The sequence below is a fragment of the Homo sapiens genome, chromosome X, assembly GCF_000001405.40.
Source record: "Homo sapiens chromosome X, GRCh38.p14 Primary Assembly".
NCBI lineage: Eukaryota > Metazoa > Chordata > Mammalia > Primates > Hominidae > Homo > Homo sapiens.
Window position 1 is genome coordinate 1,070,777 of NC_000023.11, and position 12,650 is coordinate 1,083,426.

Genomic DNA, 12,650 nt, shown 5'->3' on the forward strand with positions numbered 1-12,650 from the left:
GAGAGAGATGGAGGAAGGAAGGAAAGAAAAGAAAAGAAAGAAAGAAAGAAAGAAAGAAAGAAAGAAAGAAAGAAAGAAAGAGAGAGAGAGAGGGAGGGAAAGAGAGACAGGAAGAAAGAGAGAAAGAGACAGAAAAAAAAGAGAGAAAGAAACAGAAAGAGGAAAAGAAAAAAAGAAAATTTTATCTTGCAAGATTGCCTGTTGTATTTTTGTTTCGATAGCTCACTTGTTACCCGCTGATGTTATATTGTGTCTCTTTCTCCAAAGTATACATCGCTCTTTTTTCTTTTGTTTTGTTTTGAGACGGAGTTTCGCTCTTGTTGCCCAGGCTGGAGTGCAACGGTGCCATCTCGGCTCACTGCAACATCCACCTCTCGGGTTCAAGCGACTCTCCTGTCTCAGCCTCCAGAGTATCTGGAACTACTGGCGTCCACCACCACGCCCGGCTAATTTTTGTATTATTAGTAGAGATGGGGTTTCACCATGTTGGCCAGGCTGGTCTCGAACTCCTGACTTCACGTGATCCACCCGCCTTGGCCTCCCAAAGTGCTGGGATGACAGGCGTGAGCCACTGTGCCTGACCAATTTTCGTATTTTTAGTAGACACGGGGTTTCACCCTGTTGGCCAGGCTGGTCTCAAGATCCTGACCGCGTGATCCTCCCACCTTTGTCTCCCAAAGTGCTGGGATTACAGGCGTGAGCCACTACGCCTGGCTTTTTTTTAATTTTTATTATTTATTTATATTTATTTATTTATTTGTGAGAAGGTCTCACTGTGTCGTCCCGGCTGGAGTGCAAGGGTGTGATCCTGGCTCACTGCAGCCTCGACCTCCTGGGTTCAAGAGATCTTCCCACCTCAGCCTCCTGAATAACTGGGATTACAGGTGTGCACCACCACACCCAGCTAATTGTTAATTTTTCTGTAGCCAGACTGTTGCCATGTTGCCTGGGCTGGTCTCAAACTCCTGGCCACAAGTGATCCTCCCACCTCAGCCTCTCAAAGTACTGGGATTACAGGTGTCAGCCTCCATATGTGACCTGAAATGCCATTTTTGAGTTACAAGACAGAGAGACAGTGGAGAGATTTACTTTTTTCCTTCTTTTTTAGACAGAGTCTCCCTCTGTCCCCCAGGCTGGAGTGCAGTGGTGCGATCTCAGCTCACTGCAAGCTCTGCCTCCCGGGTTCAAGCAATTCTCCTGCCTCAGCCTCCCGAGTAGCTGGGATTACAGGCGTGCACCACCACGCCTGGCTATTTTTTGTATTTTTAGTAGAGACGGGGTTTTACCATGTTGGCCAGGCTGGTCTCGAACTCCTGACCTCAGGGGATCCGCCCACCTCGGCGTCCCAAAGTGCTGGGATGACAGACATGAGCCTCCACATCTGACCGAAAATGCCATTTTTGAGTTACAAGACAGACAGTGGAGAGATTTACTTTTTTCCTTTTTTTCGTTTTTTTGAGATGGAGTCTTGCTGTGTCCCCAGGCTGGAGTGCAGTGGTGTGATCTCTGCTCACTGCAACCTCCGCCTCCCAGGTTCAAGCAATTCTCCTGCCTCATCCTCCCGAGTAGCTGGGATTACAGGTGTGCACCACCACGCCTGGCTATTTTTTGTGTTTTTAGTAGAGACGGGGTTTCTCCATGTTGGCCAGGCTAGTCTCGAACTCCTGACCTCAGGTGATCCACCCACCTCGGCCTCCCAAAGTGCTGGGATTACAGGTGTGAGCCACCGCGCCCGGCCGGGATGTCTTTTTTCTTATTCTGTTTTCTATTTTCCAAGTGCACCAGGTTGATGATACCTATTTTCCTTTTCAAAAGAGGTGGGGTTATTGATTTTAAAAAGAAAGACCTGGGAAAAAACCGACTTGGATGTTTTTCTGTTTGCAGGATGAGGTTATAAGGCGGGAATTGACTCTGGAGGCAGGGCTTGGACCCTGGACCAAACTGGGAACCAACTGAAATACAGCTGGGGTGTAAGCCCCCCTCCATCGCACACACCCAGCAGGGTGCAGGTCCAGGTATCGTTGCCATGGCAACACGCCGGAAGTACCGCCCCCTTTCCATGGCAACGACCCGGAAGTTGCCACTCTTTCCCTAGAAATTGCTGTAGAGGGCCGGGTGCGGAGGCTCACGCCTGTAATCCCAGCACTTTGGGAAGCCGAGGCAGGTGGATCACGAGGTCAGGAGTTCAAGACCAGCCTGGCCAAAATGGTGAAACGCGGTCTGTACTAAAAATACAAAAAAAAAAAAAAAAAAAAAAAAGAAATTGCTGTTGCATAACCCGCCCCTTCATTTGCATGTAATTAGCAGCGGGTATAAATAAGACTGCGGGACCGACTCTGCAAGCTCTGCAAGAAACAGCACCTTGCTGGGCTCAAGTGACCCTCCCACCTCAGCCTCTAGAGTAGCTGGGACTACAGGCAGGTGCCACCAGGTCTAGCTATTTTTTTTTTTTTTTGTATTTGCAGAGACAGGGTTTTGCCTTGCGGTGACCCGAGATCGAGCCACTGCACTCCAGCCTGGGCAACAAGAGTGAAACTGTGTCTAAAAAATAAAATAACATAGCATAACATAACGTAACGTAACATAACATAACATAACATAACATAACATAACATAACAAACACAATAAAAATAAAATAAAATAAAAAATAAAATATAAAATAAAATAAAAAATAAAAATTTAAAAATAAAATAAAATATAAAATAAAATAAAATAAAAAATAAATATATAAAAATAAAATGAAATATGAAATAAAAAATAAAATAAATAAAATATAAAATAAATAAATAAATAAAATATAAAATATAAAATAAAATAAAATGTAAAAGTAAAATAAAAAATAAAATAAAATAAAATAAAAATATAAAAATAAAATAAAATATGAAATAAAAAAATGAATAAAATATAAAATAAAATAAAATATAAAAATAAAATAAAATATAAAATAAAAAATAAATAAAATATAAAATAAAATATAAAAATAAAATAAAATAATAAAATAAATAAAATATAAAATAAAATATAAAATAAATAAATAAATAAAATATAAAATATAAAATAAAATAAAATGTAAAAGTAAAATAAAAAATAAAATAAAATAAAATAAAAATATAAAAATAAAGTAAAATATGAAATAAAAAAAAATATAAAATAAAAAATAAATAAAATATAAAATAAAATATAAAAATAAAATAATAAAATAAATAAAATATAAAAAAATAAAATATAAAATAAAAAATAAATAAAATATAAAAATAAAATAAAATGATAAAATATAAAATAAAATATAAAATAAATAAATAAATAAAATATAAAATATAAAATAAAATAAAATGTAAAAGTAAAATAAAATATAAAGTAAAATAAAATAAAAAATAAAAATATAAAAAAATAAAATATGAAATAAAAAATAAATAAAATATAAAATAAAATAAAATATAAAAATAAAATAAAATATAAAAATAAAATAAAATATAAAATAAAAAATAAAATATAAAAATAAAATAATAAAATAAATAAAAATATAAAATAAAATAAAATCTGCCATCTCACACTCCCGACTCACCCTGAATTCTTTCCTGGACAAAGCCAAGAACCCTCCCAGCCTAAGCATTAATTTGAGGACCCACCTGCCCGACATCAGAGGCATACCTTGGTTGCAAAGGGTCCTAGAAAGAATACATTAAAGAAGGAGAGAAACTGGATATTTCACTCTGGGTCAACTCTTCGTTGCTGCTTGGAAGAGACCACATCACATGCCATGAATCCCAGGTGTCATCTGCAGAGACTGTAAAAATATGTCTGAGGGATCCCAAAAAAGTTAAACACAGAATTTCCACAGGACCCAGAAATTTCACTTCTAGGTGTATAACCGAGAGAATTCAAAACAAGTGTCCAAATAGATTTTGTCCTCGAATGTTCAAAGCCACATTTTTCTTACTGGGAGGCGTTATGTGTCCAATTGACTGGGCTCTGAGGTGCCCAGATATTTGGCTAAACATGATTCTGGGTGTGTCTTTGAAGGTGATTCTAGGTGCTGTGATTTGGTCTTCCTAGGCTTTCGGACTGGAACTCACAGTACCAGCTTTCTTGGGTATGAGGCCTTCAGATTCACAGGGGAACTCACACCGTCAGCTCTCCTGGGTCTCAGGCCTTCAGACTAAGATGGGAACGCACACCCTCGACTCTCCTGGGTCTCAGGACTTCGGACTCAGACTGGAACTCACACTCTCAGCTCTCCTGAGTCTCAGGACTTCAGACTCACACTAGAACTCACACCCTCGGCTCTCCTGGGTCTCAGGCCTTCAGACTCACACTAGAACTCACACCCTCGGCTCTCCTGGGTCTCAGGCCTTCCGGAACTCAGACCCTCAGCCCTTCCGGGTCTCAGGACTTCAGACTCACACTAGAACTCACACCCTCGGCTCTCCTGGGTCTCTGGACTTCAGACTCAGACTGAAACTCACACACTCGGCTCTTCTGGGTCTCGGCCCTTCAGGAACTCAGACCCTCAGCCCTTCCAGGTCTCAGGACTTCAGACTCACACTAGAACTCACACCCTCAGCTCTCCTGGGTCTCAGGCCTTCAGACTCAGACAGGAACTCACACCCTCAGCTCTCCTGGGTCTCAGGTCTTCACACTCACACTGGACTCACACCCTCGGCTCTTCTGGGTCTCGGCCCTTCAGGAACTCAGACCCTCGGCTCTCCTGGGTCTCAGGACTTCAGACTCACACTGGAATTCACACTTTTAGCTCTCCTGGGTCTCAGGCCTTCAGACTCAGACAGGAACTCACGCCATCAGCTCTCCTGGGTCTCAGGCCTTCAGACTGGAACTCACACCCTTGGCTCTCCTGAGACTCAGGCCTTCAGACTCAGACTGGAATCCACACCATTTGCTGTCCTGGGTCTCCAGCTTGCTGACCTTGTATCCTAAAGTTTCTAACACTTCATATTCACTTGAGTCAATTCCTTATTAGATAGATAGATAGATAGATACATACATACATACATACAGAATCTCTTGTTGGTCATGTTCCTCTGGAGACCCTGATTAATGCATTCACAACAGCCAAAAGGTGGACCCAACCCCACACGCATCAGTGGTCATACGAATAAACACAATGTGGTAGATTCACACAGTGGAATATTACGCAGCCATGAAAAGGAACGAGGCTCTGATACAGGCTGCCGCGTGCATGAACGTTGAGGACACCATGCTCACTGAGAGGTGCCAGACACAAAAGACCACACAGTGTTTCCTTCTGTGAAATTTCCAGAACAGGGAAATCCACAGAGAGGGAGAAAGTGGATTTGGGGTTGCTAGGGGCTGGGGAGGAAGAAAGGGGAGTGACTGCTTCATATTAGTTACAGGGTGTACTTTGGAGGACTATGGTGGTCTGGACCTAGACAGAGGTGATGGTTTCATAACCATCACCCATGTACTAAACGCCTCTGAATTATACACTGAAAGAAAAAAAAAAAAAAGGCCAGGCACGGTGGCCCACATCTGTAATCTCAACACTTTGGGAGGCCAAGGCGGGCAGATCACAAGGTCAAGAGATTGAGACCATCCTGGCCAACACGGTGAAACTCTGTCTCTACTAAAAATACAAAAATTAGCCAGGTGTGGAGGCTCACGCCTATCATCCCAGCACTTTGGGAGGCCGAGGTGGGTGGATCACCTGAGGTCAGGAGTTCGAGACCATCCCGGCCAACATGGTGAAAGCCCGTCTCTACTAAAAACACAAAAATTAGCCGGGCATGGTGGCTCACGCCTGTCATCCCAGCTACTCGGGAGGCTGAGGCAGGAGAATCGCTTGAACCTGGGAGGTGGAGGCTGCAGTAAGCCAAGATCGCACCACTGCACTCCAGCCTGGGTGACAGAGCGAGACTCCATCTCAAAAAAAAAAAAATTGAATTGTTTGCTATGAAAATTTCACCTCAATGAAAAATAAAAATTAAAAGAGTATACTGATGGGGAAATAAGAGATTTAAAATTAAACACACCTGCTCCACTTCCCTCAACCCCAAGAACCGAGGCTGCCCGTCTCCTTTCCTTCGTGTTCTCCCTGCAGAGATGAGGCCGTAACAGAGAAGGCAGTTGTCACTGAGAAGGATCTCGTGGGCTGGAGGCGTTCAGCAGCGACGTTTTCCTGCTGTGATATCCCCATACCCCCTTCTTATTCTTGTGAGCCGAGCCATATCTTACGCTGGGCTTGATTCAAGACAAGTTCAGCTTGACAATTACAAAGGCAATGTTGGATGTTGTATTCGTGACAATGAGTGTTTCATAGGGTGAGACCGTCAGGCGCCTGGCGGTGACAGAATCACAGCGGATCACGACCTCAGCTGACATTGTAGGATTTCCGCCTGCTCACCGAGTTATAAAGAGGAGTTTTGGGTGGAAGAAATCACCCTTTTTTCTTTTCTTCCTTCAGTCGGGCGTTTCTGGCAGCCAGGGACCTCTTGTGAATGAAAGAAACGCTTTCCAACAATTGCGCTGTGTGTCTGTGACAAAAAAGACTCTGGGAGAAAAAGCTTTGCAGTTGACGTGGGCGCGGAGCACGAGGGCAGGCTTTGAAAGACTTCCCCAGCACGTCGGCTTTGGGGAAGTTCCACGTCGGCTCACACATGGCATTTTGGAGACTACAGATCAATGACAGGGGACTGTGAAGGTCTTCCCTGCCAGAGTACACTCTCTGTACAGGAAAGAGATCTCAAACCCCACGCCTGCAGGGATGATGGCTGGGGAGGAGGAGGAGGTGTGCAAAGGAGAGTTGTAAGGTTGCAGACGTGCAGCGACATCTGGGTCCAGGAAGATTCCACACATCAGGGGACAGTCCTTTTGATCTGCAAGATAAAGTCAGTTCTACAAAGCTCAGGAACAGCGGAGGTCTTCACGGAAGCTTTCACTGTCCTATCTTTTGTCTGCCTTTGAGCTAGAATGAGGCGTGAACACTGCAAGCTTATTTCTCGGCCGGTCGCGGTGGCTCATGCCAGTCATCTCAGCACTTTGGGAGGCCGAGGCGGGCGGATCACTTGAGGTCAGGAGTTCAAGACCAACCTGGCCAACATGGTGAAACCCCGTCGCTACTAAAAATCCAAAATAAAAAAAATTAGCTGGACATGCTGGTGTGTGCCTGTAATCCCAGCTACTTGGGAGGCTGAGGCAGGAGAATTGCTTGAACTTGGGAGGCGGAGGTTGCAGTGAGCCAAGATTGCAACACTGCACTCTAGCCTGGGCGACAGAGCGAGACTCTGTCTCAAAAAAAAAAACCCAAAGACAAAAAGCAAATGCAAGGATATTTCTCATAATCCAACCAAATTGTCCATATGTGTGTGTGTGTGTGTGTATATATATATATATATATATATACATATTTATTTATTTTTTTTCTGAGACAGGGTCTTGCTCTGTTTCCCGGCTAGAATGCAATGGCACAATCATGGCTCACTGCAGCCTCAAACTCCTGGGTTCTGAGATCCTCCTGCCTCAGCCTCCTGAGTAGCTACAATCACAGGCGTGCACATGCCCGGCTAAGTTTTTCTAATTTTTTTTGTGGAGATGGGGTCTTGCTATGTTGCCCTGCCTGGTCTCAAACTCCTGGGGTCAAGCGATGCTCCTGCCTCAGCCTCTCAAAGTGCAGGAATTACAGGCATGAGCCACCGCAACCGGCCCTCTTAAATTTTTAATTCTGAGAAGCAAAGTCTAAGGTTTTGGAATTCTCAGCGTGCTGAGATGGCTCAATGTTACTTATTGGCCTGAGAGTGTCCCAGAAGGAATAAACAAAAATCTGAATAATTCTGATTCTTCTGGAAGCTGCATTCCATTTTCTTTTTTCTTTCTTTTTTTTTTTTTGTGACACAGTCTCACTCTGTCTATCAGCCAGGCTGGAGTGCAGTGGCGCGATCTTGGCTCACTGCAGCCTCCTCCTCCCGGGTTCAAGCGATTCTCCAGCCTCAGCCTCTCCCAAGTAGCTGGGACTACAGGCACCTGCCACCACGCCCAGCTAATTTCTGTATTTTTGCTTTTTTATTTTATTTTATATTTGAGATGGAGTCTCACTCTGTCACTCAGGCTGGAGTGCAACGGCGCGATCTCGGCTCACTGCAGCGTCCACCTCCCGGGTTCAAGTGATTCTCCTGCCTTAGCCTCCCAAGTAGCTGGGATTACAGGCGCCCACCACCACACCCGGCTAATTTTTGAATTTTTAGTACAGCAGGGGTTTCGCCATGTTGACCAGGCTGGTATCGAACTCCTGACCTCATGATCCTCCCGCCTTGGCCTCCCAACATGCTGGGATTACAGGCGTGAGGCACTGCGTCCGGCTAATTTCTGAATTTTTTTTTTAGTAGAGACTGGGTTTCACCGTGTTGGCCAGGCTGGTCTCGAACTCCTGGCCTCAAGCGATCCACACCCCACACCCCGGCCTCCCAAAGTGCTGGGATTACAGGCACGAGCCACCGCTCCCAGCCTCATTTTCTTACTCTACTAGATTTTACTCACAGGCGGGGCATGGGGGGAGTATGAATTATGTTAAGTAGATACCTTGTGTAAAGGTTCAGCTGAGAAAAGTGAGAAGTGGGCACTGGTTTGGTTTAAGGAAACAGGTCTGGTTGGTGCAAGGCTGTTAGTGGTGGCTTTTGCGTTCACTCTGACAGCGGTTCTATGGTCCAACGTGGACGGCATTGTTTCCAGCTTGGAGTACGCGTGATGCTCTGTCAGGATTCACTGGCTCTCTGCCTTTGATGTCTTTTTATTTTTATTTATTTATTTTTTTTATTTTTGAGATGGAGTCTCGCTCTGTCACCAGGCTGGCATGCAGTGGCGCGATCTCGGCTCCCTGCAACCTCCGCCTCCTGGGTTCAGGAAATTCTCCTGCCTCAGCCTCCCGAGGAGCTGGGATTACAGGCATGCACCACCACGCCCAGCTAATTTTTTGCACTTTTAGTAGAGACGGGGTTTCACCATGTTGGCCAGGCTGGTCTCAATCTCTTGACCTCATGATCCACCCACGTCAGCCTCCCAAAGTGCTGGGATTACAGGCGTGAGCCACTGTGCCCAGCTGTGTCTTTTTTTTTTTTTTTTTTTAGACAGCCTTGCTCTGTCACCAGGCTGGAGTGCAATGGCGCGATCTTGGCTCCCTGCAACCTCCGCCTCCTTGGGATCAAGCAATTCTCCTGCCTCAGCCTCCTGAGTAGCTGGGATTACAAGCATGCACCACCACGCCCAGCTAATTTTTTGTATTTTTAGTAGAGACGGGGTTTCACCATGTTGGCCAGGCTGGTCTTGATCTCTTGACCTCATGATCCACCCACCTTGGCCTCCCAAAGTGCTGGGATGACAAGCATGAGTCTTGCTCTGTCGCCAGGCTGGAGTGCAGTGGCGCGATCTCGGCTCCCTGCAACCTCCATCTTCTGGGTTCAAGCGATTCTCATGCCTCAACCTCCTGAGGAGCTGGGATTACAAGGCGCACGCCACCACGGCCAGCTAATTGTTTGTATTTTTAGTAGGGATGGGGTTTCACCATGTTGGCCAGGCTGGTCTCGATCTCTTGACCTCATGATCCACCCACCTCAGCCTCCCAAAGTGCTGGGATTACAGGCTTTACCATCCACATGGAAGGGACTGGATGGACCATCAGCCCAAATGCCTGGCCCAGAGATCTCATCCAAGTCCCAAAAGAGCCAGAACTGAAGAGCTTTCAGTTGTGAAGGACAGAAAGGTAGTTCTATGGGGAGGAAGAAATGACAGATGTGTTCCCTTATCAATACCCACTACACAGCAAACATGTATCCAGTGCCTGCCCAGGACCTCTTGGCAGAGAATAAAAAATAATTGGGTGTGGCCAGGCACGGTGGCTCATGCCTGTAATCCCAGCACTTTGGGAGGCTGAGGCAGGCAGATCATGAGGTCAGGAGATGGAGACCATCCCGGCTAACACGGTGAAACCCCATCTCTACTAAAAATAAAAAAAATCAGCCGGGCATGGTCGTGGGCGCCTTAGTCCCAGCTACTCGGGAGGCTGAGGCAGGAGAATGGCGTGAACCCGGGAGGCAGAGCTTGCAGTGAGCCGAGATCGCGCCACTGCACTCCAGCCTGGGTGACAGAGCAAGACTCCATCTCAAAAAAAAATAAATAAATAAAAATAAGTGGGTGTATTCCTTTGACCTCTTCTTTCCCCAAGTCTCAAACTTGGAATCCGCAATTTAAATCCTCAGTAAAACAACTCACTGCAAAAGCTGGGTGCAGTGGCTACCGCCTGTAATCCCAGCACTTTGGGAGGCTGAAGCAGGTGGATCATGAGGTCAGGAGTTCCACACCAGCCTGGGCAACATGGTGAAACCCCGTCTCTACTAAAAACACAAAAATTGGTCAGGTGTGGTGGCTCACACCTGTAATCCCAGAACTATGGGAGGCCGAGGTAGGTGGATAACCTAAGGTCAGGAGTTTGAGACCAGCCTGGGCAACATGGTGAAAACCCATCTCTACTAAAAATACAAAAAATTAGCCAGGTGTGGTGGTGCATGTCTGTAGTTCCAGCTACTCGGGAGGCTGAGGCAAGAGAATCACTTGAAACTGGGAGGCGGAGGTTGCAGTGAGCTGAGATCCCACCACTGCACTCCAGCCTGGGCAACAAGAGTGATACTCTATCTCAAAAAAAAAAAAAAAAAAAAAAAGCTGACTTAAATCTACAGTGGGATAGTATTCACTGTTACAAAGAAGGAAATTCTCGGCCAGGCATGGCGGCTCATGCCTGTAATCCCAGCACTTTGGGAGGCCAAAGCAGGCGGATCACCTGAGGTCAGGAGTTCAAGACCAGCCTGGCCAACATGGTGAAACCCCGTCTTTACTAAAAATACAAAAATCAGCCAGGTATGATGGCAGGTGCCTGTAGTCCCAGCTACTCAGGAGGCTGAGGCAGGAGAATCGCTTGAACCCGGGAGGCAGAGGTTGCAGTGAGCTGAGATCGTGCCATTGCACTCCAGCCTGAGTGACAGAGCGAGACTCTGTCTCAAAAGAAAAGACAAAAAACAAAATCAAACAAACAACAGCAAAAACAAACAACAAACAATCTGACGTCAACCTACAGTGGGATGGTATTCACCGTTAAAAAGACGGAAATGCTAACATGTATTAGTCAAGTTTCTCTAAAGAGACAGGACTAATAAAATAGATGAATATATGCAGGGCAGTTTGTGAGGCCTCTGAGCCCAAGCCAAGCCATCGCATCCCCTGTGACTTGCACGTATATGCCCAGGTGGCCTGAAGTAACTGAAGAATCACAAAAGAAGTGAAAACGTCCTGCCCTGCCTTAACTGATGACATTCCACCACAAAAGAAGTGAAAATGGCCGGTCCTTAAGTGATGACATTACCTTGTGAAAATCCTTTTCCTGGCCCATCCTGGCTCAGAAAGTTCCCCCACTGAGCACCTTGCAACCTCCACTCCTGCCCGCCAGAGAACAAACCCCCTTTGACTGTAATTTTCCTTTATCTACCCAAATCCTATAAAAGAGCCCCACCCTTATCTCCCTCCCCTGACTCTGTTTTCGGACTCAGCCCGCCTGCACGCAGGTGATTAAAAGTTTTATTGCTCACACAAAGCCTGTTTGGTGGTCTCCACACGGACGTACATGAAAGAGTTTATCGGAAGAATTAGCTCACACGATCACAAGGTAAAGCCCTACAATAGCCCGTCTACAAGCTGAGGAGGCAGGAAGCCAGTCTGAGTCCCAAAACCTCAAAAGTAGGGAAGCTGACATGGCAGCCTTCAGTCTGTGGCCGAAAGCTCAAGAGTCCCTGGTAAAACCACTGGTGTCAGTCCAAGAGTCCAAAAGGCGAAGAGCTTGAAGTCTGAGTTTCAATGGCAGGAAGTGTCCAGCACAGGAGAAAGATGGAGGCTGGAAGATACAGCCAGTCTAGTCCTTGCACGCTCCTTTGCCTGCTTTATTCTAGCTGCGGTGGCAGCAGATGAGAGGGTGCCCACCCAGCTTGAGGGTGGCTGTGCCTCTCCCAGTCCACTGACTCAAATGTTATTCTCCTTTGGCAACACCCTCACAGATACACCCAGGAACAATACTTTGCATCCTTCCGTTCAATCAAGTTGACGCTCAGTATTAACCATCGCATAACACCTGCTCCAACACGGATGGACCTTTGAGAACATGACGCTGAGAGAAAGAAGCCAGATGCAAAAAGACAAATACTCTAGGATTCCACTTATATGAGGTCCCTAGAGTCGTCAAATTTGTAGACACGGAAAATAGAGTCGTGGGTGCCGGGGGCTTGGGGAGGGAGAAAAGGGGACAGAGTTTCAGTTTTGCAAGACGGGAAACGTCAAAAAGATTTTTTGCATAAAAAGGGAAAAGACTTACCGGGTACGGTGGCTTATACCTGTAATTCCAGGACTTTGGGAGGCCGAGGTGGGCGGGGGCGGATCATCTGAGGTCGGGAGTTCAAGACCAGCCTGAGCAATATGAAGAAACCCTGTCTCTACCGAAAATACAAAAATTAGCCGGGCATGGTGGCAGGTGCCTGTAGTCCCAGCTACTCGGGAGGCTGAGGCGGGAGAATCGCTTGAACCTGGGAGGCAGAGGTTGCAGTGAGCTGAGATCGCGCCATTGCACTCCAGCCTGGGCAACAGG

At 46.0% G+C, this 12,650-nt stretch overlaps 1 annotated feature.

The window, feature by feature from the left end:
* Nucleotides 11,061-11,600: an enhancer, noted in NCBI's record as "NANOG hESC enhancer chrX:1104952-1105491 (GRCh37/hg19 assembly coordinates)". NCBI's record gives its function as "activates a minimal SCP1, AML or CMV promoter by ChIP-STARR-seq in primed H9 embryonic stem cells {active_cell/tissue: H9 hESC(primed)}" and the evidence as "EXISTENCE:reporter gene assay evidence [ECO:0000049][PMID:30033119]".